Genomic DNA, 27,807 nt, shown 5'->3' on the forward strand with positions numbered 1-27,807 from the left:
ATTTTGATACAAGCATACAATGTGTAATAATCACATCCTCAAGCATTTATCATTTGTGTTACAAACAATCCAATTAGGTTCTATATTTTTATTTTTAATGAGGTGGAGTCTCACTGTGTCACCCAGGCTGGACTACAGTGGCGCGATCTCGGCTTACTGCAACCTCTGCCTCCCGGGTTCGAGCGATTCTTCTGCCTCAGCCTCCTGAATAGCTGGGACTACAGGCGCATGCCACCACACCCAGCAATTTTTTTTTTTTTTGTATTTTTTGTAGAGACGGGGCTTCACCATGCTGGTCAGGATGGTCTCAATCTCTTGACCTTGTGATCTGCCTACCTTAGCCTCCCAAAGTGCTGGGATTACAGGCATGAGCCACTGCGCTCGGCCAAGTTCTTTGTTTTTAAATGTACAATTAAATTACTATTGTAGTTACTCTGTTGTCCTATCAAATATTAGATCTTATTCTTTTTTTGATACCCATTAACCATCCCCACATCCCCCCTGTTTTGAAAAGATGTTTTAGTCTGCTCTCATTTTGCTAATAAAGACATATCCAAGACTGGGTAATTTATAAAGGAAAGAGGTTTAATGAACTCACAGTTCCACATGGCTGGGGAGGCCTCACAATCACGGTGGAAAGTGGAGGAGGAACAAAGGCACATCTTATATAGTGGCAGGCAAGAGAGCATGTGCAGGGGAACTGCCCTTTATAAAACCATCAGATCTCATGAGACTTATTCACTATCACGAGAACAGCACTGGAAAAGCCCCTCCCCATGATTCAGTTACCTTCCACTGGTCCCTCCTGTGACACATGGGAATTATGGGAACTACAATTCAAGATGGGATTTGAGTGGGGACACAACCAAACCATATCAAGAGATAAAAAGGCACAAAGCACAACTTTGATCTTTTATGGCCCCAAAGCTTAATAATGGGATAATACAAGCATAGAGACGAGTATATAACATAGTTACAATATGTAAGAGAATATGGCAGAGATAGATAGGAAGGAGGAGGACCGACAGGAATAAGGGCCCTAATGAAAAGTGGAAGAGTCTCTCTGGGCAGCTAAGAAAAATGCCATGGAAGTACAGAGAAAATGGATGCAGAAGAACAAAGCAAAGATGGAATTTCTTTTCTTTTTTAAAATTTTTTGAGTTAATTGTAGATTCACATGCAGTTGTAAGAAATACAGAGAAATCCCATATATCCTTCACCACTTTTTCCCAATGGTAACAATTCGCATAACTATAGTCTGTATCTCATCTCTTTTCTTTTTGATAAAAGGCTCTGAGAATGAGCAGATTTCAAAAAAAATTTAACTATCCTATCAGATAATTTAATTATGAGCATGAATCAACAATGTATTTCAAATTTGTGGCAAAGGCAAGAGACTTTGCTGACCTTGGAAGGGACATTTTCTGGAAAAAGAGAAGAATGAGATAATCACTGTTAGACTGAATACATGTAAAAAGAATGCCTGGTTAAGAAGATCATTAGACCCTTGACTGACAGTCAGCTAAGTAGCTGGGTAGGTAGTTTCCCAGAAGAGGTCATAATCTCATTAAAGTTTGATATAAAACTGCTTAAGCATTTTATCACAAATCTTAATTTCCTTCCTAGTAGGAGGTTATGAATTACAGCATGAAAAAACTTCTGTATCAAACCAGATTTGGGACAGTTTTTCTTTACCATAAGCCAGGGATCTGAGTGAAATGTTGAGTACCCACCTTGAATTTTGGAAGGAATAAACACAATACCAAGAACTGAGGCCGGGAGCAGTGGCTCACACCTGTAATCATAGCACTTTGGGAGGCTGAGGCAGGCAGATCACCTGAGGTCAGGAGTTCGAGACCATCGTGACCAACATGGAGAAACCCTGTCTCTACTAAAAATACAAAATTAGGCGGGCATGGTGGCACATGTCTGTAATCCCAGCTACTCAGGAGACTGAGGCAGGAGAATCCCTTGAACCCAATAGGCGGAGGTTGTGGTGAGCCGAGATGGCACCACTGAACTCCAGCCTAGGCAACAAGAGCGAAACTCCATCTCAAAAAAAAAAAAAAAAAAAAAAAGAGTTGAGGCCCTGGGGAAGATGACCCAAGAGGAAACCCATAGGAGACCATTCAGTAACATGGAAACTTTAGTTTCTGTGTGACATACATGACTTGATGTTTGTTATATATTTTTTCCAAGTTAGACTGTGAATCCTCTATAATGTAAGCTTCCAGGACACGGATCTCATTTGTGATACTGTTTCCCCCCACCTTGAACATTATCAAGCACATAATAGGCTCACAATGCAATAAATATTGACTGAATGAATGAATTTCTAAACACTTAAATAACCAGGAACACTGCCTTTCCTACATTTCAAGCATGTCAAAGGTGGGGATAGTTAAGTCATGACTGTATTTCATGAATTTTCATGAATTGATATTAGGGGAACACATGAAGGAGTGTGTTGATATACACCAAGGCTGAAACTGTAAGAAAATTTTCAGCCTCATCTTGGCCAAGAACCTCTACCCAGAAACAGGGGACCCAGGAATCACTCAAGAAAGCCTTCATTGTAATTATGAAGATAAAGAACAAATCAGTGGTTGCTGGGAATTGAGGAATGGGATGTGATTACAAAGGGATAGCATAAGAGAATTTTTGGGGGAGGAGAAGCTACTCTGTATCTTAACTGTGGTAGTGGTTACACAAATCTATATATCTATTAAAATTCACAGAACTATACACAATAAGTCAATCATTTAAAAAATGTTGCCACTAAAAATCCCATTGAATGGACACCTTGTGTTGAGGGAGGTGCCTGCCAGCCAACGCACTGTTGCTTCCTTCTCTTGGACCAGCACCACCCCCCACACGCCACCTTTATGTATGATGAGGTCTCCAGGAATGATACTTATACTGTGAGACTCCACTCCCATCTCTATCCTTCAGGGTGACTGATAATGAGTAGACAGCAAACTAGACCAAGTAGGTGTCTCTCTCAGATATTTAAAATTGGGACTGTAGCTATAAGTAAATCTCTAAGAGTTGCTGGAATGGTAACAATAATACCTAAAATTGTGAGACAGCCATATCGTATTTCATAGATATCAAAGTTGAGATAGATGGTTTACAGAATGAGAGAGAAGGATGTAAGCCTACCAAAAGAAGTGACGATAAGGGAAATAAGAGAGAGACTGAGAATCAGACATGTTGGCTGACTGATTTAATGGGTTTCCAGTTTCTAATTCCTCTTCTCAAGGTCTATCTACTTTCTTCCCCTTGGTTTCAATGAGCTACCCTACACCCTTATGATAGTCCTTGTGTATGCTTCTGTTTAATCAAGCTCAGTTATCCTGTTTGTAAAAACATAGACTCTGAATTAATCTATGGGCCTTTAAACACTAGTTCAAGCACCATCAAATAGTCAGAATTTGGGCAACTCAACCTCTTGATGCCTCCGTTTTCTCATCTTTAAAAGGACAATAGTACCTTTTATACAATTGTGGGGATTAAATGAGTCCATATAAAGTTCTTAGAGCAATGCTTGACACATAATATGAATCCAGATATGCTGCTATTATTATGACTAACACAGCTTTATCAGAGTCTGTCTATACTCTCAATATCATTTCATAGCAGGAAATAGCTATAATTATCAATATTTTCTGAGGTGAGAGAACAAAAAACAGGAAACCATCTCATTCATTATAAGAACCCCAAGACTTCCCCCAAACATGAAAAATGCCTCTTGAAATGATTATTCTAATCTAATGCAAAATTATGAACATGAGGAATTTTATTGTATTTCTTTAAAATCTGGTAAGATTTCCTGTGAAATTATACCATGGTATCAAAATGAAATTTAAGACCTTTCACCAAGTTTGGTCCTATTCTCTCTGTGGCATGAACACAGTGGGGAGTTGTGGATGATCTCTTTCATCTGCATTGTAACATTGTAATTTTAGAGTTTATAAAACACCTTCTTGGATTCTATTCCATTTTGATTTTTTCTTTTTTTAGATGGAGTCTCACTCTATCACCAGGCTGGAGTGCAGTGGCACAATCTCGGCTCACTGCAACCTCCACCTCCCTGGTTAAACTGATTCTCCTGCCTCAGCCTCCCAAGTAGCTGGGACTACAAGTGCACACCAACACGCCCAGCTAATTTTTGTATTTTTAGTAGAGACAGGGTTTCACCATCTTGGCCAGGATGGTCTCGATTTCTTGACCTCGTGATCTGCCCGCCTTGGCCTCCCAAAGTGCTGGGATTACAGGCATGTCATTTTGATCTTTATGACAACTCTCTGAGGCAGGTATTATCATCAAAAATTTACAGATGAGGAAATAAAAGCTCAGAGAGACACCAACATCCATCCAGCTACTTAGTTTCATAGCTAGAACTGAGGCCTTCTGGCTCCAAGAATTGGGCTTCTTCCTAACAATCATATTGATGCCTACCAGATTAACAGCTCTGCAGATGAAGACCAGCCTGATATAATTATTTTGCCCACTTCTCAGTTTCTACTACCAACTGTTATATTTCAGACCTATATATTAGGTTCTCACATAAGTGCAGTGAGTTTAGCAGACCATCCTCACTGTATAGACTGTGAAACCAGGTCTTCAGTAATTCAAGTCCAAGGTCACCCTTTGGGTATGTTGACTAGTAATTATATAAACCTGGAAAATCAACCAAATATCTCTTGACTTCAAATCCAGTACTTTCCCCCACTTTATGGCACTATCTCTCTGATATGTGTTTATTCTTAGCGCTAGAACTTCAAATTTCCAAACAGGCCTGGGTGATAGAGACATGTGTTTCTTATGGTCAAACAAATTGCTAGAGCTAAGACAGAAACACACTTGCTTTTCCAAGTGGATAGGGGCAGAATGAAAACTAAGTTCAATTGCTTGATTTGTGCAAATATCACACAAGAATACGGTAGACCTATGTATTAGGTTGGTGCAAACAGAATTGCGGATTTCGCCCTAACTTTTAATGGCCAAAAAACGCAATGACTTTGCGCCATCCCAATATTATATTTCAACATAGGTGTCCAAGATAGAGTGTTAAGTTGGTGGGGTGTGCGGTGGAGGAAGCACAACGTAAAACAGCTTAGCTGTTAGCTTCAACCATAAGGGGGAAAGTAACAAACTTAAATAGGTTATGTAATGAGTTGAAATATTTCTCTAGAAAGATGTCATACATTGCAAAATAGGTCAGAGCTGGTCTTCGGCCTAAAAGAGCAGAGTTTCTTTGTTCTTTGTGTGGTTGAGGGTGGAAATCCTTCTATAACAGATCCAGCTACCCCGCTACTGTGGTTTGCCTTAAGAAAACAATTGCAAGAAAGGTGGGAAGTGAGAGAGAATAGTATGTGTGTGGGGGAGTGGGGCGGAGGGGAGGGTGTGCCTGTGTATGTGTATCTGTATACGTACAGCTAAATTGTGAGATCTATGTATTAAAGAGTTTTGGAAACCTAGGACCTGCACCTAGAGACACCACCTATTCAAACAATAGTTTGCGCAAATGGGAAAATAAACTGGGTAACTGGGTTTGGCAGTAGTATAATCCCAGGTCATGGCTGATTTTATGCAAGAGTTTATGAATTATACCAGCACAGCTGGAGACCTGTGTTTCAAGAGCAATCATCTGGGCCGGGCACAGTGGCTCATGCCTGTAATCCCAGCACTTTGGGAGGCCAAGGTGGGCAGATCACAAGGTCAGGAGATCGAGACCATCCTGGCTAACACACTGAAACCCTGTCTCTACTAAAAATACAAAAAATTAGCCAGGCATGGTGGTTTGCACCTGTAGTCCCAGCTACTCGGGAGGCTGACGCAGGAAAATGTTGTGAACCCGGGAGATGGAGCTAGCATTGAGCCAAGATAGAGCCACGGCACTCCAGCCTGGGCGACAGAGCAAGACTCCATCTCAAAAAACAATAAATAAATAAATAAATAAATAAATAAATAAATAAATAAATAATAAATAAAATTAAAAAAATAAAAAAGAGCAACCATCTGAAAATAAAAACTACCAAATCCAAAAACAACATTATTCCTCAGCTGAGGAAGGTTTTTGTTTTTATCTCTCTATAATTATGGTAAGCAGACCCGCCTCCTTAAATAGTAGAATCACCCCTGTATTATGAGAAGTTACCATAGGAGAATAGACTCAGGACAGGAAAAAAGATATTCTCACAGTATAAGGTTTCAGAGATATTTAATTTAGTTAATAAAGGGAATGTGACCTCACTTCTATTTCTGCCTAGGACAGTGGCTTATATCACACTAAATCTTCTGCCAATAATAACTATAAAATCTGGGTGAAAAAAAAATAAGGCTGCTTGAAACCACTGAAGGGCAACCAAGGCAGCCAGAAGTGGATAAGGCAAGATCATGAAGAGATAAGGATGCTATTGAGGTGAGCCCTGTGTTATTATCCAGTGTGTTTCCCTTTGAGGCATTTGCCAAGTCATCGTGCATGGCATTGAGGCCAAATAGAAATCAGCAACCTGGAACTTGCAGCTGTCTTAGCAATGAACTTCAAGACTCCCAAAGCATCCAGAACATGAAGGTCTAAGTTTTCAGAGAAAAAAAGAGAATTTCTGAAAAGTGAGCCTGAAATTCTACATACAATTCTCTCCCAAGGGATTTGGGAGCTTCGGCGATGTACATACACATCAAGAAAAATGCTGAGAACACAGGAAGAAAGCATGAGCCAAGAAGCTACAAAGCTAGATTTGCAGAGATAAACTTTGGAGGTCAAAGGATACCAAAGATAATGGACGCTTGTTAGGGAGAAGTGGGAGAGGGTGGTGGTGCAGGGCAGATTTTGAGTTGAAACGTCAATGGGCATTGCCCTAGGATTAGGGGTTACACTTTAGGAGTATGTACAAGCTGGAAATACAGCCAATACTTACAAAAACTGAAGCCTAAGCTTCTGCTAAAGCAAGGTAATCTGCTCATACTCTTTCTGCCTGCCAGAAAATAAAATATATCCCCTGTAGAGGAAGATATATTGTCCAGAGCCTCTACTATCTTTCATACAAAATATCCAGCATTCTACAAAAAAAAAAAAAAAAAATTATCAGGCATCCTGGGAAACAGCAGAATGACTAAAAACCCTAAGAAAACACAAACAATAGAAACTAGCCTGGAAAGAATCCAGATATTGAGTTATCATACATGGATTTTAAAATAACCATTATTATTATTTCCAAAAACAGAGAAAGAGATCGTGAATTATAGGATTAGAACACCGAAGAGAGAAAAAAGGAAATAGAAATTTTAAAATTGAAAAACATCAATACTCAAATGTAGAACTCAGTAATGATTTTTAGAGAAGGTAAGATAGAGCAAAGAAGATTAATGAAATAACAGATAACTAAGTAGAACCTATCCAGATTGAGGCATGGGGAGAGCGGGAGGAATGAAAACCAGATAAGGGTGTGACCCAAGGGACATGATAGCAAAGTTTAATGAATGTGCAATAAGAATCTCAAAACGAGAAAACAGAAAAGATAGAAAAGAAATATTTAAAGAGATAAGGACTGGAATTTTTCCAAAACTGATGGAAGATCAATCCACAGATTTAAGAAGCTCTATAAATACTGAGAGAAAATGAACACAAAATAAAATATCTGGGTAAGCTGTTGCAGGCCAAAGACATAGAAAAATCAGCAAAGAGCAGCCAGAAGAGAGAAAGGGTTATATTATTTTCCAAGGGATACCAATAAGACTAACAGCAGATTTCTCAATTAAAATGACAGAAACTAGGAGGCAGTGCTATAATATTCTTAAAAGGCTGATAGAAAATAACTATCAACCGCAAGTTCTATACACGACATGAAAATGAAGGTAGAATAAATATAATTTTACATAAATAAAAACTAAAATATTTAATTACAGCAGACTGGTACTAGAGAAATATTAAAGGATGTTAAGTAAAAATAAACACAGAAGCAGTGATCCTACAGGGAAAAAAAAGCAGTACAGTAAGGAATAAAGGCAATGGAAAGGACAAATATGTAAGTAAATCCAAATGAATATTGACTACCAAAACATCCACAATTTGTCTGGCAGTGTTCACTATATTTTTAGAATTGAAATATATAACAATGATGACATAAAAAATAGGAGATGTTAAATAAAAGTTAACTCCTGTAACATTCTAGCTTTGTCTGGGAAATAAGAAAAAATTGTTACATCAAGTAGACCTTAATAAGGCAATGACGCATATTGTAATATCTACTGAAACCCCTAAGAGGAAAATAAGAGAATGTATATGAACATGTTAAAAACTAGCCAAAATGGAATAAAAAATAATTTATTAATCCAAAAGAAAATACAAACGAAAGTATGATGACACATTTTACCATAAATATTTCGGTAACTAGCAATAAATGTTAATGGATTAAGTAATCCAATTAAAAGAGATTTTCAACCTAGATAAAAATAACAAGCTATGGGTTTTATCCAAGATGGCCAAATAGGAACAGCTCCAGTCTACAGCTCCCAGCATGAGCGACGCAGAAGATGGGTGATTTCTGTATTTCCAACTGAGGTACCGGGTTCATCTCACTGGGGCTTGTCAGACAGTGGGCGCAGGACAGTGGGTGCCGCCCACTGAGTGTGAGCCGAAGCAGGGCGAGACATCGCCTCACCCGGGAAGCACAAGGGGTCAAGGAATTCCCTTTCCTAGCCAAGCAAAGCTGTGACAGAAGGCACCTGGAAAATTGGGTCACTCCCACCCTAATACTATGCTTTTCCAATGGTCTTAGCAAATGGCACACCAGGACATTATATCCCGTGCCTGGCTCGGAGGGTCCCACACCCACGGAGCCTCACTCATTGCTAGCACAGCAGTCTGAGATCAAACTGCAAGGCGGCAGCTGGGGGAGGGGTGCCCGCCATTGCTGAGGCTTGAGTAGGTAAACAAAGCGGCCGGGAGGCTCGAACTGGGTGGAGCCCACCGCAGCTCAAGGAGACCTGCCTGCCTCTGTAGACTCCACCTCTGGGGGCAGGGCATAGCCGAACAAAAGGCAGCAGAAACCTCTGCAGACTTAAATGTCCCTGTCTGACAGCTTTGAAGAGAGCAGTGGTTCTTCCAGCACGGAGTTGGAGATCTGAGAACGGACAGCCTGCCTCCTCAAGAGGGTCCCTGACCCCCGAGTAGCCTAACTGGGAGGCACCCCCCAGTAGGGGCAGACTGACACCTCACATGGCCGGGTACCCGTCTGAGACAAAACTTCCAGAGGAATGATCAGACAGCAACATTTTCTGTTCAGCAATATTCGCTACTCTGCAGCCTCCGCTGCTGATACCCAGGCAAACAGGTTCTGGAGTGGACCTCCGGCAAACTCCAACAGACCTGCAGCTGAGGATCCTGACTGTTAGAAGTAAAACTAACAAACAGAAAGGTCATCCACACCAAAACCCCATCTGTACATCACCATTAACAAAGACCAATAGTAGATAAAACCACAAAGATGGGGAAAAAAACAGAGCAGAAAAACTGAAAATACTAAAAATCAGAGCGCCTCTCCTCCTCCAAAGCAATGCAGCTCCTCACCAGCAACGGAACAAAGCTGGTGTTTTGTTTTGCATGACTTTGATGAGCTGAGAGAAGAAGGCTTCAGATGATCAAACTTCTCCCAGCTAAGGAGGAAGTTTGAACCCATGGCAAAGAAGTTAAAAACCTTGAAAAAAGATTAGACAAATCGCTAACTAGAATAACCAATGCAGAGAAGTCCTTAAAGGACCTGATGGAGCTGAAAACCATGACATGAGAACTACGTGACGAATGCACAAGCTTCAGTAGCCAATTCGATCAACTGGAAGAAAGGGTATCAGTGATGGAAGATCAAATGAATGAAATGAGGCGAGAAGAGAAGTTTAGAGAAAAAAGAATAAAAAGAAACGAACAAAGCCTCCAAGAAATACGGGACTATGTGAAAAGACCAAAGCTACGTCTGATTGGTATACCTGAAAGTGACCGGGAGAATGGAACCAAGCTGGAAAACACTCTGCAGGATATTCTCCAGGAGAACTTCCCCAACCTAGCAAGGCAGGCCAACATTCAAATTCAGGAAATACAGAGAATGCCACAAAGATACTCCTCGAGAAGAGCAACTCCAAGACACATAATTGTCAGATTCACCAAAGTTGAAATGAGGAAAAAATGTTAGGGGCAGCCAGACCGAAATGTTGGGTTACCACAAAGGGAAGCCCATCACACTAACAGCTGATCTCTTGGCAGAAACTGTGCAAGCCAGAAGAGAGTGGGGGCCAATATTCAATATTCTTAAAGAAAAGAATTTTCAACCCAGAATTTCATATCCAGCCAAACGAAGCTTCATAAGTGAAGGAGAAATAAAATACTTTACAGACAAGCAAATGCTGAGAGATTTTGTCACACCAGCCCTGCCCCACAAGAGAAGGAAGCACTAAACATGGAAAGGAATAACTGGTACCAGCCACTGCAAAAACATGCCAAATTGTAAAGACCATCGAGGCTACGAAGAAACTGCATCAACTAACGAGCAAAATAACCAGCTAACATCATAATGACAGGATCAAATTCACACATAACAATATTAACCTTAAATGTAAATGGGCTAAATGCTCCAATTAAAAGACACAGACTGGCAAATTGGATAAAGAGTCAAGACCCATCAGTGTGCTGTATTCAGGAAACCCATCTCACGTGCAGAGACACACATAGGCTCAAAATAAAGGGATGGAGGAAGATCTACCAAGCAAATGGAAAACAAAAAAGGCAGGGGTTGCAATCCTAGTCTCTGATACAATGGACTTTAAACCAACAAAGATCAAAAGAGACAAAGAAGGCTATTACATAATGGTAAAGGGATCAATTCAACAAGAAGAGCTAACTATCCTAAATATATATGCACCCAATACAGGAGCACCCAGATTCATAAAGCAAGTCCTCAGAGACCTACAAAGAGACTTAGCCTCCCACACAATAATAACAGGAGACTTTAACACCACACTGTCAACATTAGACAGATCAATGAGACACAAAGTTGACAAGGATATCCAGGAATTGAACTCAGCTCTGCACCAAGCGAACCTAATAGACATCTACAGAACTCTCCACCCCAAATCAACAGAATATACATTCTTCTCAGCACCACACCACACTTATTCCAAAATTGACCACACAGTTGGAAGTAAAGCACTCCTCAGCAAATGTAAAAGAACAGAAATTATAACAAACTATCTCTCAGACCACAGTGCAATCAAACTAGAACTCAGGATTAAGAAACTCATTCAAAACCACTCAACTACATGGAAACTGAACAACCTGCTCCTGAATGACTACTGGGTACATAATGAAATGAAGGCAGAAATAAAGATGTTCTTTGAAACCAATAAGAACAAAGACACCACATACCAGAATCTCTGGGACACATTCAAAGCAGTGTGTAGAGGGAAATTTATAGCACTAAATGCCCACAAGAGAAAGCAGGACAGATCTAAAATTGACACCCTAACATCACAATTAAAAGAACTAGAGAAGCAAGAACAAACACATTCAAAAGCTAGCAGAAGGCAAGAAATAACTAAGATCATAGCAGAACTGAAGGAGATAGAGACACAAAAAACCCTTCAAAAAATCAATGAATCCAGGAGCTGGTTTTTTGAACAGATCAACAAAATTGATAGACTGCTAGAAAGACTAATGAAGAAGAAAAGAGAGAAGAATCAAATAAGCGCAGTAAAAAATGATAAAGGGGATATCACCACCAATCCCACAGAAATACAAACTACCATCAGAGAATACTATAAACACCTCTATGCAAATAAACTAGAAAATCTAGAAGAAATTGACAAATTCCTTGACACATACACCCTCCCAAGACTAAACCAGGAAGAAGTTGAATCTCTGAATAGACCAATAACAGGCTCTGAAATTGAGGCAATAATTAATAGCCTACCAACCAAAAAAAGTCCAGGACCAGACGGATTCACAGCCGAATTCTACCAGAGGTACAAGGAAGAGCTGGTACCATTCCTTCTGAAACTATTCCAATCAATAGAAAAAGAGGGAATCCTCCCTAACTCATTTTATGAGGCCAGCATCATCCTGATAGCAAAGCCTGGCAAAGACACAACAAAAAAAGAGAATTTTAGACCAATATCCCTGATGAACATCGATGCAAAAATCCTCAATAAAATACTGGCAAACTGAATCCAGCAGCACATCAAAAAGCTTATCTACCATGATCAAGTGGGCTTCATCCCTGGGATGCAAGGCTTGTTCAACATACGCAAATCAATAAATGTAATCCAGCATATAAACAGAACCAAAGACAAAAACCACACGATTATCTCAATAAATGCAGAAAAGGCCTTTGACAAAATTCAACAGCCCTTCATGCTAAAAACTCTCAATAAATTAGGTATTGATGGGACGTATCCCAAAATAATAAGAGCTATTTATGACAAACCCACAGCCAATATCATACTGAATGGGCAAAAACTGGAAGCATTTCCTTTGAAAACTGGCACAAGACAGGGACGCCCTCTCTCACCACTCCTATTCAACATAGTGTTGGAAGTTCTGGCCAGGGGAATCAGGCAGGAGAAAGAAATAAAGGGTATTCAATTAGGAAAAGAGGAAGTCAAATTGTCCCTGTTTGCAGATGACATGATTGTGTATCTAGAAAACCCCATCGTCTCAGCCCAAAATCTCTTTAAGCTGATAAGCAACTTCAGCAAAGTCTCAGGATACAAAATCAATGTGCAAAAATCACAAGCATTCTTATACACCAATAACAGACAAACAGAGAGCCAAATCATGAGTGAAACCCCATCCAAAACTGCTTCAAAGAGAATGAAATACCTAGGAATCCAACTTACAAGGGATGTGAAGGACCTGTTCAAGGAGAACCACAAACCACTGCTCAACAAAATAAAAGAGGACACAAACAAATGGAGGAACATTCCGTGCTCATGGATAGGAAGAATCAATATCGTGAAAATGGCCATACTGCCCAAGGTAATTTATAGGTTCAATGCCATCCCCATCAAGCTACCAATGACTTTCTTCACAGAATTGGAAAAAACTACTTTAAAGTTCATATGGAACCAAAAAAGAGCCCGCATTGCCAAGTCAATCCTAAGCCAAAAGAACAAAGCTGGAGGCATCACGCTACTGACTTCAAACTATACTATAAGGCTACAGTAACCAAAACAGCGTGGTACTGGTACCAAAACAGAGATATAGACCAATGGAACAGAACAGAGCCCTCAGAAATAATACCACACATCTACAACTATCTGATCTTTGACAAACTTGACAAAAACAAGAAATGGGGAAAGGATTCCCTATTCAACAAATGGTGCTGGGAAAACTGGCTAGCCATATGTAGAAAGCTGAAACTGGATCCCTTCCTTACACCTTATACAAAAATTAATTCAAGATGGATTAAAGACTTAAATGTTAGACCTAAAACCATAAAAGCCCTAGAAGAAAACCTAGGCAATACCATTCAGGACATAGGCATGGGCAAGGACTTCATGTCTAAAACACCAAAAGCAATGGCAACAAAAGCCAAAATTGACAAATGGGATCTAATTAAACTAAGGAGCTTCTGCACAGCAAAAGAAACTACCATCAGAGCGAACAGGCAACCTACAGAATGGGAGAAAATTTTTGCAATCTACTCATCTGACAAAGGGCTAATATCCAGAATCTACAAAGAACTCAAACAAATTTACAAGACAAAAATGAACAACCCAATCAACAAGTGGCAAAGGATATGAACAGACACTTCTCAAAAGAAGACATTTATGCAGCTAAAAGACAAATGAAAAAATGCTCATCATCACTGGCCATCAGAGGAATGCAAATCAAACCACAATGAGATACCATCTCACACCAGTTAGAATGGCAATCAGTAAAAAGTCAAGAAACAACAGGTGCTGGAGAGGATGTGGAGAAATAGGAACACTTTTACACAGTTGGTGGGACTGTAAACTAGTTCAACCATTGTGGAAGACAGTGTGGTGATTCCTCAGGGATCTAGAACTAGAAATACCATTTGACCCAGCCATCCCATTACTGGGTATATACCCAAAGGATTATAAATCATGCTGCTATAAAGACACATGCACACGTATGTTTATTGCGGCACTATTCACAATAGCAAAGACTTGGAACCAACCCAAATGTCCAACAATGATAGACTGGATTAAGTGGATTAAGAAAATATGGCACATATACACCATGGAATACTATGCAGCCACAAAAAAGGATGAGTTCATATCCTTTGTAGGGACATGGATGAAGCTGGAAACCATCATTCTCAGCAAACTATCGCAAGGACAAAAAACCAAACAGCTCATGGTCTCACTCATAGGTGGGAATTGAACAATGAGAACACTTGGACACAGGAAGGGGAACATCACATACCGGGGCCTGTTGTGGGGTTGGGGGAGGAGGGAGGAATAGCATTAGGAGATTTACCTAATGTAAATGACGAGTTAATGGGTGCAACACACCAACATGGAACATGTACACATATGTAACAAACCTGCACGTTGTGCACATGTAGCCTAGAACTTAAAGTATAATAAAAAAATAAAATAAAATAAAATAAAATAAAATAAAATAAATAACTGGCTATATGTGGTTTATATGACACTGAACATCAATATAAAAATATAGAAAAGTTGAAAGTAAAAGGATGGTAAGAAATACCCAAGGACATAGCAAAGCCAATGTCATTATACTAATATCAAGCAAAGTAGACTTTACTGAAATAAATATAATAGAGATAAAGATCTGTATAAGAATATGTATAGACCAGGTGTGGTGGGTCACACCTGTAATCCCAGCACTTTGGGAGGCTGACGTGGGAGGATTGTTTGAGGTCAGGAGTTCAAGACCTGCCTGAGCAACATAGTGAGACCCCATGTCCACAAAAATTTAAAAATTAGCCAGTTGTAGTGGCATGTGCCTGTGGCCCCATGTACTCAGGAAGCTGAGGTGGGAGGATTGCTCCAGCCCAGGTCGTTGAGATTGCAGTGAGCTGTGATCATGCCACTGCACTCCAGCCTGGGAAAGAAAGAAAAGAAAGAAAAGAAAGAAAGAAAGAAAGAAAGAGAGAGAGAGAGAGAGAGAGAGAAAGAAAGAAAGAAAGAAAGAAAGAAAGAAAGAAAGAAAGAAAGAAAGAAAGAGAAAAGAATATTTAATAGAAGCATTTTTCACAAATGCTTCCCCAAACTGGAGCTTACCCAATTATCCAGCAGCATAATAAATAAATAAGCATATTGTAATAGTCATAAGATGGAATATTACATAGCAATTAGAATGAGCAAACTTCTGTTAGACACACAATTACAGATAAATACTGTAGATAAAATGTTGAACAAAAGAAGACAAAAATGAAAGGGTGCATGAAATATGACTCCATTTATCAAAAATCCAAAATAGGAAAAGCTAATGAATGGTGGCACAAGTCAAAATAATGGTGATCTTTGAGGAAGATGATGGAGAAGGAACATGGAAATCTTCTAGGAAATATTTTCCGTATTGATCTGAGTGGTGTGTCCACCTCTGAATATTTGTCAAGCAGTACAATTATGATTTGTGTACGTTTATGAGTATATGTTTTACTTCAATAAAATGCTTTAGAAAAAAGATAAATTTAATCCCATTTGCTACACCAAACTACTGAAAGAGGGTATATGATCTGTTTATGATAATTTTAATCATTAATAGTAACAGTAGATACTTAACTAGTCCTTCTGGAAAGAAAAATACCACATGTTCTCACTCACATGATAGAGCTAAAAAATTTGATCTCATAGAGATAGAAGGTAAAATAATAGATACTGGAGTGGGAAGTATGTGAAGGTGGGAGGGGGAAATGAAGAGAGATTGGTGAATAGGTACAAACCGAGAGTTAGATAGAAGAAATAAGTTCTAATGTTTGATAGCTACTAGGGTGATCATTGTTAGCAACTGTATATTGCATATTTGAAAGTAGCTGGAAGAAGACTTGAAATGTTACCAATGCATATAAATGAAAAATACTCAAAGTAACGAATATCCCAAATACCCTGGCTTGATCACTACACATTCTATATGTGTGAAAGATACTCACTTATACCCAATAAATATGTAAAATATTATTTATTAATACAATTTAAAACTAGTCCTGCATGTAAGTATTGTAATTATGTTAACTTAATACTTATAAAAATCTGTTAAGTAGGTTCTATTATTATCCCCATTTCACAGATAAAGGAATGGAAGAAGAGGGAGTGTCTTAGTCTATTTTCTGCTGCTATAGCAGAATATCACAGGCTAGAACATTTATGAAGAACAGAAGTGTATTTTGTTTATGGTTCTAGAGGATGGGAAGTCCAAGGACATGGCACCTGCATCTGGTAAGATACATCTTGTGGCAGAAGGGTGGAAAGCAGAAAGTGGAAAGCAGAAGCAAGCACTCAACACAGAGAAAAAATAACAGCCAGACTTACCCTTTTGTTAGGAGCCCACTCCCAAAATCATTAACCTACTCTGGTGATAATGACATTAATCTGCTCATGAGGGTAAAGCCCTAACGGCCTAAAGGCCCTCACCTTCTAAAGGCCCCACCTCTTAATACTGTTAAAAATATGATTAAGTTTCCAACAAATGAACTTTTGCAGGATACATTCACACTATAGTAGGGAGGTTAAGTAACTTGCCCTAGGAGACACACAGTTAATGGGTAGCACACTCTCTCCTTCTCCCTTCCCCCTCCCCCTCTTTCCTTTTTTCCTCTCCTCCCTGCCATTTCTCTGTTGCACCTTAGAATCTCTTGGGGAGATTTGTAAAAATTTCAATGTCTAGACTGCAGCCTAAGCCAATTAAATCAGAATCTCTAGAGTGGAATACAGGAAACTGGTTGGTTGGTTGTTTTTTTAAAGAAAAACAATTCCTTGATAAATGTATGTCTGATTATCATTTTAAGGATGTGAGGGTTAAAGTTCAACGGGGTTAGATAACAACAAATGAGTAGAGGGAAATTAAGAAGTGGGGAAATCAGAATTTAAACCCCAATGTACTGAGGTCTAGAATTTGAGTACCATTCCTCCTTCCAATGATCAGGAACTTTTGATTTTCTTCCAGATACCCAATCCTCCACATTAAAGGTACAGCCCCAACATCTGGGGGTGGAGAGAGGTATAGGTCTGGCATTTATCCAGGATTTTTAGCTTCCTTCATCAGAAAACACCTGAAGATAGGCAGTCACCTATGGCAAGAAACAAATACCAAAGATGGAACTATGGGGATAAGACATAAATAAGTTTTACCTTAGGGATCCTGTTCCAGTATGATGTCCATGCTTCAAACTTTTATAACCAGGTCCTTCAATGACTAAACTTCTTTCATAAGTGTCCAAAGTAGGCTTACCTTTCTCCTTCCTGTCTCCAGGGTAATTAAGTGACTAAATTTTACCGAGGCTACAAAACTCACATTGAAAGAAAATTGGGTAACACTCAAGTGGGAAAAGGAGAACTTTTCTAACATAAAAATATTATAATTGTGCAATATTGGCCATAAAACATGCTGAGAAATAATTGTTTGAAAATTATCATTATCTAAATCTCAGTATGGGAGAGATAAAAGAGAACAATGTTCACACGAGCTTTCTCAATTAAGGGTGCTACAATCACGACCTCCAAACATAGAAGAAACAAATATATGCAGTTCTTTTAAACATATACTTAAAGTTACAAAATGGATTTTGAGTGTAATTTAAAGGCAGGGTGCTCCCTACGACTTACTTGGTTATATTAGTGCGAAGCAGGGTGTGGAGGTAAAAAGTTCCCTTTGCCAGAAGATGTGCTTATTCCTATTAACTTGTGCCCATCCACTGGCCAGTCCCCGATAAGGTCTTCTTTCTTAATATCTAAAATGATATCTACATCATCCCAATATCAACTTCCTGAGCCACCCACTCCTTTGAAATTCAAATGAAACTGGCAAAGCCGTACACCATATGCCATGGAAAAGCTCAGTGTTAATCTCCCATCTCTGTGGAGCTCCTCAAGATGTCCAGAAAGAGTTGTCACAATCGCTGGATCGTTTCTTACTCAGAGTCCCAATATTCAGGAGAGACCATTTAGTTTGTGGATAAACTCACTGTCTGCCCATTTTTTCACTAATCTCCATCACTTCACCCAGAATCCTCATCCTTTAACCCAGGCTACCTGCGTGGCAGCCTTTACCATGAAGGGGGTTTCAGCACAGACGTAAACTTAGCAGCAAAGTACCTCACAGTTTTGAAATTCAGTCAGTCTCTTTACCTGCCACAGAATTTCCCATGCACTACCTCACTTGGCTCTGTTTTCACTCCTCTTCCTCCTCCTACCCCTTTGTTTGCTCCACGCAAGCCATAACTCCAAAATTATTATGACTCTCTCCTGAGGATGTTTTTACAATCTCCTTGTTCACTGACTCCTTCCAAACTATTCCTTGTCATCTCACAACTTTCCAAGCCCAACTGGTCTGTATATTAAGCTATTGTGCTACAACAGTAGTTCTCTTCCTCAACGAAGTTCTGCTGCCAGATTTTACATGATTCATTTTTACCATGCTTCAACCAAATGATATAAGTAAGCTCCCTTCTACTTCTAAATTCACCTAGTAGATGGTACCTAGTCTCTGACAAGCACTGATATACTGGGATACATAGTGGATAAACATGAATGACAAAGTCCCTAATTTCATTAAGCTCCCAAGACAGAACTTAAGAGATGCTTGTTTGTTTGGAAAAAATACAGTAAAATCTTTTGCATTAATGAGTGAATGAGGGGCATTATTTCCCCATCTGTGACCTGGAACTCAGAATTGCATACATAATAATGGTTCTGTCTCTTCTTCTTAGGATACCCACCTAGGCCCTCTCATTCCTTAAAGAGAGGTTACAAGCTACAGAAGCAATGCTCCTAACCAACATTTACTAAATCTGCTTTATCAAAATAACCAAAACCCTCCATTTCTTCAACAAAACATACTAAATGCTCTCTACAGAAAGCTGAAAGCTCATGGCTAACAGGAAACTCTAATTTTTCTGCTACATTAACCAGCCAACTACTACTTCTAATTATATCAGATAAGAAGGCTTCTACTGTATTTTTCCAAATAAAAACAGTTCCTTCCCAAGTGGAAATCTAATGCAAGCTGTTGAAAACAAAGTAATTCTGTTTTCTTCTTATCACATGCAGATGAATGGATGCCTCAGAACGACTTTGCCAGGACTACACAAAATTCACTTAGTCCTGTTGCAGACTATGACTATGATCTTCTTTTGCAGAAAGGAAACGTAGGTAGTTGTCAGTTGTATCAGCTACCTATTACTAAGAAACAAACTCCCCTAATATTCAACGGTTTAAAACAATACACTTTTATTATTGCTTATAAGTCTATGGGTAAGCAGGGAAGTTCTATTGATCTGGGCAAAGTTTGGGTGATCTCATCTTATGTCTACAGTCAGCTGGCAAGGTCATCTGGTAATGGCTGGTCAAGGATAGCCTTACATGTCTCGTGGTTGGTTGGCTGTTGCCTAAAGTAAAGGGAGTCACTGAACCCTGTGTCATCTCTACATTCAACAGGCTAGCTCATGGCAGCTGGGCAGACTCCAAAAGAAAGTAACAGGTACAACATCTGCTGAGGGGGAGGTTTAAAGCTGACACACTGTCACTTCCAACATGTTCTAATAGCCCCTGTAATTTATAAGATCTTATGGTTTGAATTTTGTCCCACCTTAGATTCATAAGTTGAAGCCCTACACCCCCAATGTCACTGTATGTGGAGATAGGGGCTTTAAAGAGGTAATTAAGGTTTTAAAAGGCCATAAGGGTGGAGCCCTAAGCTAATATAACCTCTGTCCTTATAAAAAGAAGAAGAGATACCAGAAGTACACACACACGCACACACACACACACACACACAGAGAGAGAGAGAGAGAGAGAGACCCTGTGAGGACACATGGCCTTTGTTGTTTTATCAGTCTTTATTGATGAAACAATTGAATTCTTTATAGGAAAAAAAGAAACCATAATACTTTTTCCCCCAACAAAAATTAATTCAAGTTGAATTATATACTTAGACATAAAACCCAGAACCATAACATTTCTAGGAATAAAAGAATATTTTTAAGACCTTGGATATGCAAAAAATTTTTTGAACAGGACACAAAAAGAGATGAGGTGTCATCTGTAAATCAAGGAGAGAGACCTCAGGAGAAACCAAACCTGACAACATTTTGATCTTGGACTTCTAGCCTCCAGAACTGTGAGAAAACAAATTTCTGTTGTTTAAGCCACCACCTAGTCTGTGGTATTTTTTTATGGCAGCCCAAGCCAACTCAAACACAAGGTAAACCCAGACTCAAGGAGTAGACAGATAGATTCCAACTATTTATGAAAAGAGCTACAAAGTCACATTATGAAGGTTGTAGATATAGGGAGGGATGGAGAATCAAAGCTATTGTTGTAATCAATCTACCCTACTACATCAGTTGAGGCAGAATTATCAACACTTTTTGTATTGTATTTCAATTTTACCTATAAATTTCAGTATTTAGAAGAAAGTCAGTGGGTTCCCTTACACAGTGGACATAGAATGCACCCAAAGGATCAAAACAAGTCACTTAAGCTATAGCAAAGGGCTGAGACTAGATATGATGAGGTGTCCCTCTAATGCATACTAGTCCTATATAGTAGATATAGCTGCATCCATAGAAGACTCAGAGGCAAGAAGCAGGACTGAAGTCTCTAGGCTCTGAAATCAGTGAGCAGGAATAGAGAGCAAAGAGAAATCTTCAGAACCCAACACGTTGGTAGGTTGGTGGTAGAGCCAGGAAAGACTTCCTCCAGTTCTGAAAGCTAGAAACATGTTCCTGAAGCACAGAGAGATTGGTATACTCTCACCAGCACTCAGACCTGGGTCCTGCTGAAAGGAAGTCCTGATCCCACACTCATTTGAAGCCAGAGACAAATTGAATTAAACAAAAGCCACAGCAAAACCCAAACTGAGCTCAACTGCAGATTAGATTGCATCAGTCCCTGCTGCAGTAGCCTAGCATAAGAATAGCCAAGGTGATCATGAGTAAAAATAATTGAGCTGGAGAAATTTTCCTACCTGATTTAAAAATATACTACAAAGCAATAGTAATCAAAACAGCATGGCTAGTATAAAAACAGACACATAAGCCAATGGAACAGAATAAAAAACCCAGAAATAAGTCCATGCATTTATGGTCAATTGATTTTTGAAAAAGAATCCAAGAATATACAATGGGGAAAGAATAGTCTCTTCAATAAACAGTTCAGAGAAAACTGGATACCCACACGCAAAAGAATGAAATTAGGCCTTGATCTCACATCAGATACAAAAATCAGCCAGAAATAGATTAAAGACTTAAACATAAGGCCTGAAACTGAAAAACCAGTAGAAGAAAACATAAGGGGAAAACCCCATTGCATTGCTATGGGCAATGATTTTTTTTAATCGGACCCCAAAGACATAGGCAACAAAAGCAGAAATAGACAAAAGGGATTTCATCACACTGAAAAGCTTCTGCACAGCAAAGGAAACAATCAACAGAATGAAGAGGCAACCGAGAGAATAGAACAAAATACCTGCCAATCATACACCTTATGAGGGAGTTAATATCTAAAATACACAGGAAACTCAATTAAGTAGCAAGAAAACATCCTGACTAAAATGGGCAAAGGATCTGAACAGACATATCTCAAAAGGCAACATACAAACAGGTATATAAAAGATATTGGATTTCTACATCTTTTTTTAATTGACAAAAATTGTATATATTTATGGAGTACAACATGATGTTTTGATATATTCATTGTTTGATCTAGACATTTGATAGTCATTGTGGAACGACTGAATCAAGCTACTGAACATATCAATTCCCTACATATTTAGCATATCTTGGTGGTGAGAACATTTAAAATCTACTCTCTTAGCAATTTTTACATATACAATATTATTAATTATAGTCACCATAATGTACAGTAGATCTCTTGAACTTACTCCTCTTGTCTAACTGAAATTTTGTATCCTTTGACCAATATCTCCCCAGTACTCCAACCCCCCAGCTTTATTTTTTATATACTTTTCATATACCAACAGGTATATTTTTAAGATGCTCGACAGCACTAGTCACCAGGAAAATGCAGATTAAAACCACAATGCGATAGCACTTCACACCTATTACAATGACTTATCAACAAGATGAAAGATAACAAGTGTTGACCAGGAATGTAGATACAAGGGAACCCTCAGATGCTGTTGGTGAAAATGTAACTTAGTACAGCTATTATGGAAAACAGTATGGAGTTTCCTCAAAAAATTAGTAATAGAACAATCATTTGATCCAGCGATCTCTCTACTGGGTATGTATCTAAAGGATATGAAATCAGTGTGTCGAAGGAATACCTGAACTATGTTCACTGCAGCAACAATAGCTGGAATTAACCTACATGTTCATCAATGGATGAGTGGATAAAGAAAATATAGTATATACACACAACAGAGTATTATTCAGCCTTAAAGAAGCCCTCTTATTTGTGACAACATGGATGCACCTGGAGGACATTAGGTTAAGTGAAGTAAGCCAGGCACAAAAAAAAAAACAAAATATTGCATGAATGAGTTCATACGTTAAATCTAAAAAAGTAATGCTGGAGAATGGGGGGACTGGGGAGATGTTGGTCAAAGGATACAAAACTTCAGTTAGACAGGAGAAGTTCAAGAGATCTATTATACATTATGTTACTGTAACTAATAACATATTTATGTGAAAATTGCTAAGAGAGCAGATTTTAAATGGTCTTATCACCAAAAAATGCTAAGTATGTAAGTAAAGCATATGTTAATTAGCCTGATTTAGTCATTTCACAATGACTATCAAATGCCTAGATCAAACAATAACTATATAAAAACATCATGTTGTACTCCATAAATATATACAATTTTGTCAATTAAAAAATAAAAACATGCAAAAATCCCATACCTTTTTATGACTAAAAAACTCAGCAAACTAGAAATTTCTCAAGCTGATAAAGTGTATCTATGAAAAACCTACAGCTACACCAAATACTTCATCATAATTAATATCAAAATTATAAACAATTTTTCCCCCAAGATCAAAAACAAGGCAATGATGTATGCCCTCACCACTTGTATTCAGTATTATCCTGGAAATCATAACTGTAGCAATACAATTTTTTATAAAAATTGTTATAAAATTGTTATAAAAATTGCAAAAGAAATAAACTTCTACTAATTTGCAAATTACATTGTTGTGTAAGCAGAAGTACAATGTCCAAAGCAATCTACCAAACTTCTACAACTAGTTAGTAAGTTTTTAAAAGTCACAGGACACAAGGTTGATAAGCAAAATTAATTGTATAACTATATATAAGCAACAAACAATTGAAAATTAAAATGTAAAACACAGTAACTCTCCCCTTCCTTTTCTTTCCTGAACAATTCTGTCCAAAAGCCATCAGGTGGGGCTGAACACATTAGGCAACCCTGCAGAGAAGTAGGGTAAAGTTGCTGTGGGCCTCTACATGGTGTTGAGGACTGAGTATGTGTAGAGGACGTCCACAAGAGAAGATGGCCTATCACAGGGCATCAGAGTTGAGCAGACTGAAGGGCTGCCTACATGAGAGGGTGACCAGGTGCTAGGCACCAAAGCCCGTGCAGGTTGAACAGGGCATCTGCTTGGGAGGGAAGCCCAGCAGGAGGTGTCAGAGCCTGAATAGCCACCAGGGGGCAGGAGTGACAGCCATGACTAGAGATTGGTACCTATGATGGGGTTGATCCAATAAACACATTGAGGGAAATGGGAGCTAGGTTTCTGCCAATAAAGAGATATACAAACAAGGAAAGGCAGATAATTAGAATAAACTCTGTAGGGCTGGAATGAAAGATATTGGTGTAAACCCTTGGCTTTCAACAAGTATAGATAGATATTCACATAAGGTATATAGATATGGGCATAAATATAGAAATAGGAATATACACAGAAGTTACTGAGCACACCTAAGGCTCAGATCTTGGTTTCTAAATACCATTCTAAAATAAAAGTAGACACAAAATAAAATAAAAGGGCTTGTTGGATAAATGGCTAATTCCAGGGCTAAAGAAAAAAGAAGTACAAAATGAATCTGGAACACTTTGTGCCAGAAAGTAAGAAAGCTCTTTTAAAAATAATAAAACAAATAGGGGTATAATTAAAAAGACATGGAAATCTTGAAGGTGCCCCTATCCACAAAATCTGAAACAATTTGAGCATCAAAATAAAAAATAATATTAATGGATTAAAGCTAAGTAAAATATGAAGGCATGAGCCTATACTGATAGTAATTAAATTCAAAGTTTGATGAAGAACAAAACAGTTTCAAAATATCACTACACGAAATATTTATTACAAGGGGATACATAGTAAATTTACAGTGGAAAGCCTAATAGACATCCCCTTCATCAATTGATCAAAGTGAATATCATCAGTAAAGGAACAAATCAAAATTATATGTCACTTGATAGGACTCCATAAGAACACTATCTCGCTCTGTGATGTTTCTGCCAAAGAGGAATAGCCTGAATCTAACCAAAAGGAAAGATCAGAGCAATCCAAATTCTACAAAACATTCTTATAATTTGTCTAGGTCACCAAAGTCAAAGAAATACTGAGGAACTGTTTCAGACTAGTTCAACTAAACATAACACGATTCTGGACCAGATCAATTTCTTACAAAGACCACTCTGGGGACAACTAACTACACTTGAATGGAGTCTGAAGACTAGGTATTAAGAGGGGATACATGTCTATTTCCTGATTTTTATGTTCGTATGGTGGCTATTTAGGGGAATATTCTTGTTCTTAGAAAATACACATTCAAGTATTAGGAGATAATAAAGTATCATGTTGGAAACTTTCAAATGCTTTGAAAAAGTTTCTTTATTCTGTACTCTAAACTTATTGGAAATTTTGAGACTGTTTCAAAATAAGAAACAATATAACTTTCAATAACATCAAAATATCAAATACCTGGAAATAAATGTAATGAAACCTACTCAAACCCAGAAAACATTGCTGAGAAAAGTTAAAGACCTGAATAAATGAAATGTTTTACAATGTTCGTACATTGGAAGGTTCAGTGCTATTGAGATATTCATTGTTTCTAAATTAGCACATAACTTCAGTATGATTCCTATCAAAATTCCAGCAGGCTACTTACCAGACTTACATAAGATAACTCTAAAAATGTTTATGGCAAATCTACATGTCTAGAATAATGAAAACAATCTTGAAAAAGGTGAACAAAACTGGAGAACTAACATTATCTGATCTCAAGCCTTATTCTAAAATTACAGTAATCAAGACAGTTTAATAGTGGATCATAGGATAGAACACTAGATCAATGGAGCAGGAGAGAGTGTCCAGAAATAGACCCACATTCATATGGTCAGTGGATTTCACATAACGGTACAAAGTCAATTCTACGTGGCAAAGAATGCCTTTTAAACAAATGTTGATGAAACAATTGAATGCTTTATAAGACAAAAAATGAACCATGACAATTTTCCCCCACAAACACAAGATGAACTATGTACTTAGATATAAAACTCAGAACCATAACACTTTTAGGAAAAAAGAATATTTTCAAGACTTTGAGTGTGCAAGAAATTTTTGAACATGACCCCAAAAACATGATAAAAAAAAAGAAAAAGATTTAAAAATGTTGGACTTTATCAAAGTTAAAATTTTCTGCTTATCAAAAGATACCATAAAGAAAATGAATAGACAAGTTATGGTTTGGAAATATACTTATACCACCTATATATGACTATGGGCTTATATCCAGTGTACACAAAAACTACAAATCAACAATCTAATTGAGCAACCTAATTTTTCAAAATTAACAAAATACTTGAACAGATGCTTCACAAAAGAAGATACATCAATAGTCAACAAGTATTTGAAAAGGACTCAATGTTGTTAGTCATCAAAGGGAATGCAAATTAAAAACCATAATCAAATAGCACTTGACACCCAGTAGAAACACTAAAATGAAAAAGACTGACATCAAATGTGGGCAAGGACAAGGAGCAACTGGAACTCACATACATTGCTGGTGTGAGAGTACAATGTTACTACACTTTCAGGACTATGTGGCCCTTTCTTCAAGTTTGACATACATGTCAAACTTATGACCCGTCTCTTCTTCTCCTAAGTACTTACCCAAAAGAAACGAAAACACGTTTACTCCAAATCATGCACAAGAATGTTCATAGTAGCCATGTTCATAACTGCAGAAAAGTGGAAACCATGTAAATGCGCATAACAGGAGAATGCCGGATGCCTACATAGGAATACTACACACCAAGAGAAAGAATAAATGACAAATACACACAATACGCACATGCATGAATCTCAAAAACAGTATAAGCAACAGAATCCTGAAACAAAATGACATCCAACACATAAGAATGACCCTATTTATGAAATCTATATATAAACCAAACTAACCTAGGTTGACAGAAATCAGGTAGTGGGATATAGGGAAGGAATGAACTGGAAAGGAGTCAAAGCGTTTCTAGGATGATGGAGATCTATGTTCTTTTGAGTGGTGTTACACTGGTATATACTATTACCAATATTCATTGAACTGAACACTTTAGATCTGTGCATTTTATTATATGTTAATTATGGCACAAAAAAACAAAAACAAAAAAGTCTAAAAGGTCTAGTATGGGACTTATTGCAGATGAATGCCATTTTATTTTTTTATGTAATTTCAACTTTTATTTATTTATTTGAGACAGGGTCTTCCTCTGTCACCCAGGCTAGAGTTCAGTGGTGGGATTATAGTTCACTGCAGCCTCAAGCTCCCAGGCTCAGGCGTTCTCCTGCCTCAGCCTTCTGAGTAGCTGGGACCACAGGCATGCACCACCACAGCCAGATTATTTTTTATTATTTGGAGAGACAAGGTCACCCTATGTTGTCCAGGCTGGTCTCAAACTCCTGAGCTCAAGGGATCCCCCTGCCTCAGCCTCCCAAAGTACTGGGATTACAGGCCTGAGCCACCATGCCCTGACAACTTTTATTTTATTTAGATTCAAGGGGTACATGTTCAGGTTTGTTACCTGGATATATATTACATGATGCTGAGGTTTGGTGGACAACTGGGGCAGCTGTCACCTAGGTACTGAGCATAGTACCCAATAGTTTTTTTTTTTAATACTGTCTCCCTCTCTTTTCCTCCCCACCTCTAGTAGTCCCTAGTGTCTATTATTGCCAGCTTTATGTCCATGAATACCCAATATTTCACCCCCACTTACAAGTAAGAACATCTGGTATCTGGTTTTCTGTTCCTGTGCTACTTTGCTCAGGGTAATGGCCTCCAGCTACATCCATGTTGCTGCAAAGGACATGATTTAGTTGTTTTTATGGCTACATAGTATTCCATGGTATATATGTGCCGCATTTTCTTTATCCAATCCGCTGTTGATGGGCATCGAGGTTGATTCCATATCTTTGCTACTGTGAATACTGCTGCGATGAACGTATGAGTGCATGTGTCTTTTTGGTAGCATAACTTATTTTCCTTTGGATACATACCCAGTAATGGGATTGTCATGACAAATCATAGTTCTAAGTTATTTGAGAAATCTCCAAACTCTTCTTTACAGTGGCTGGACTAATTTGCATTCCCATCAACAGTGTATAACCGTTC

General features: G+C 38.3%; 1 long non-coding RNA gene across 1 annotated transcript in view, besides 1 other annotated feature; it reads right to left on the bottom strand.

Annotated features, from left to right (window-relative positions):
* Positions 1-27,807, bottom strand: part of LOC107984893 (uncharacterized) — a 111,412-nt gene that overhangs the window by 36,855 nt on the left and 46,750 nt on the right. The window lies entirely within an intron of this gene.
* Positions 23,557-23,716: an enhancer, noted in NCBI's record as "active region_10514". NCBI's record gives its function as "activates an Ori minimal core promoter by ATAC-STARR-seq in GM12878 lymphoblastoid cells {active_cell/tissue: GM12878}" and the evidence as "EXISTENCE:reporter gene assay evidence [ECO:0000049][PMID:35858748]".

Source organism: Homo sapiens, chromosome 16 (genome assembly GCF_000001405.40).
Source record: "Homo sapiens chromosome 16, GRCh38.p14 Primary Assembly".
Lineage (NCBI taxonomy): Eukaryota > Metazoa > Chordata > Mammalia > Primates > Hominidae > Homo > Homo sapiens.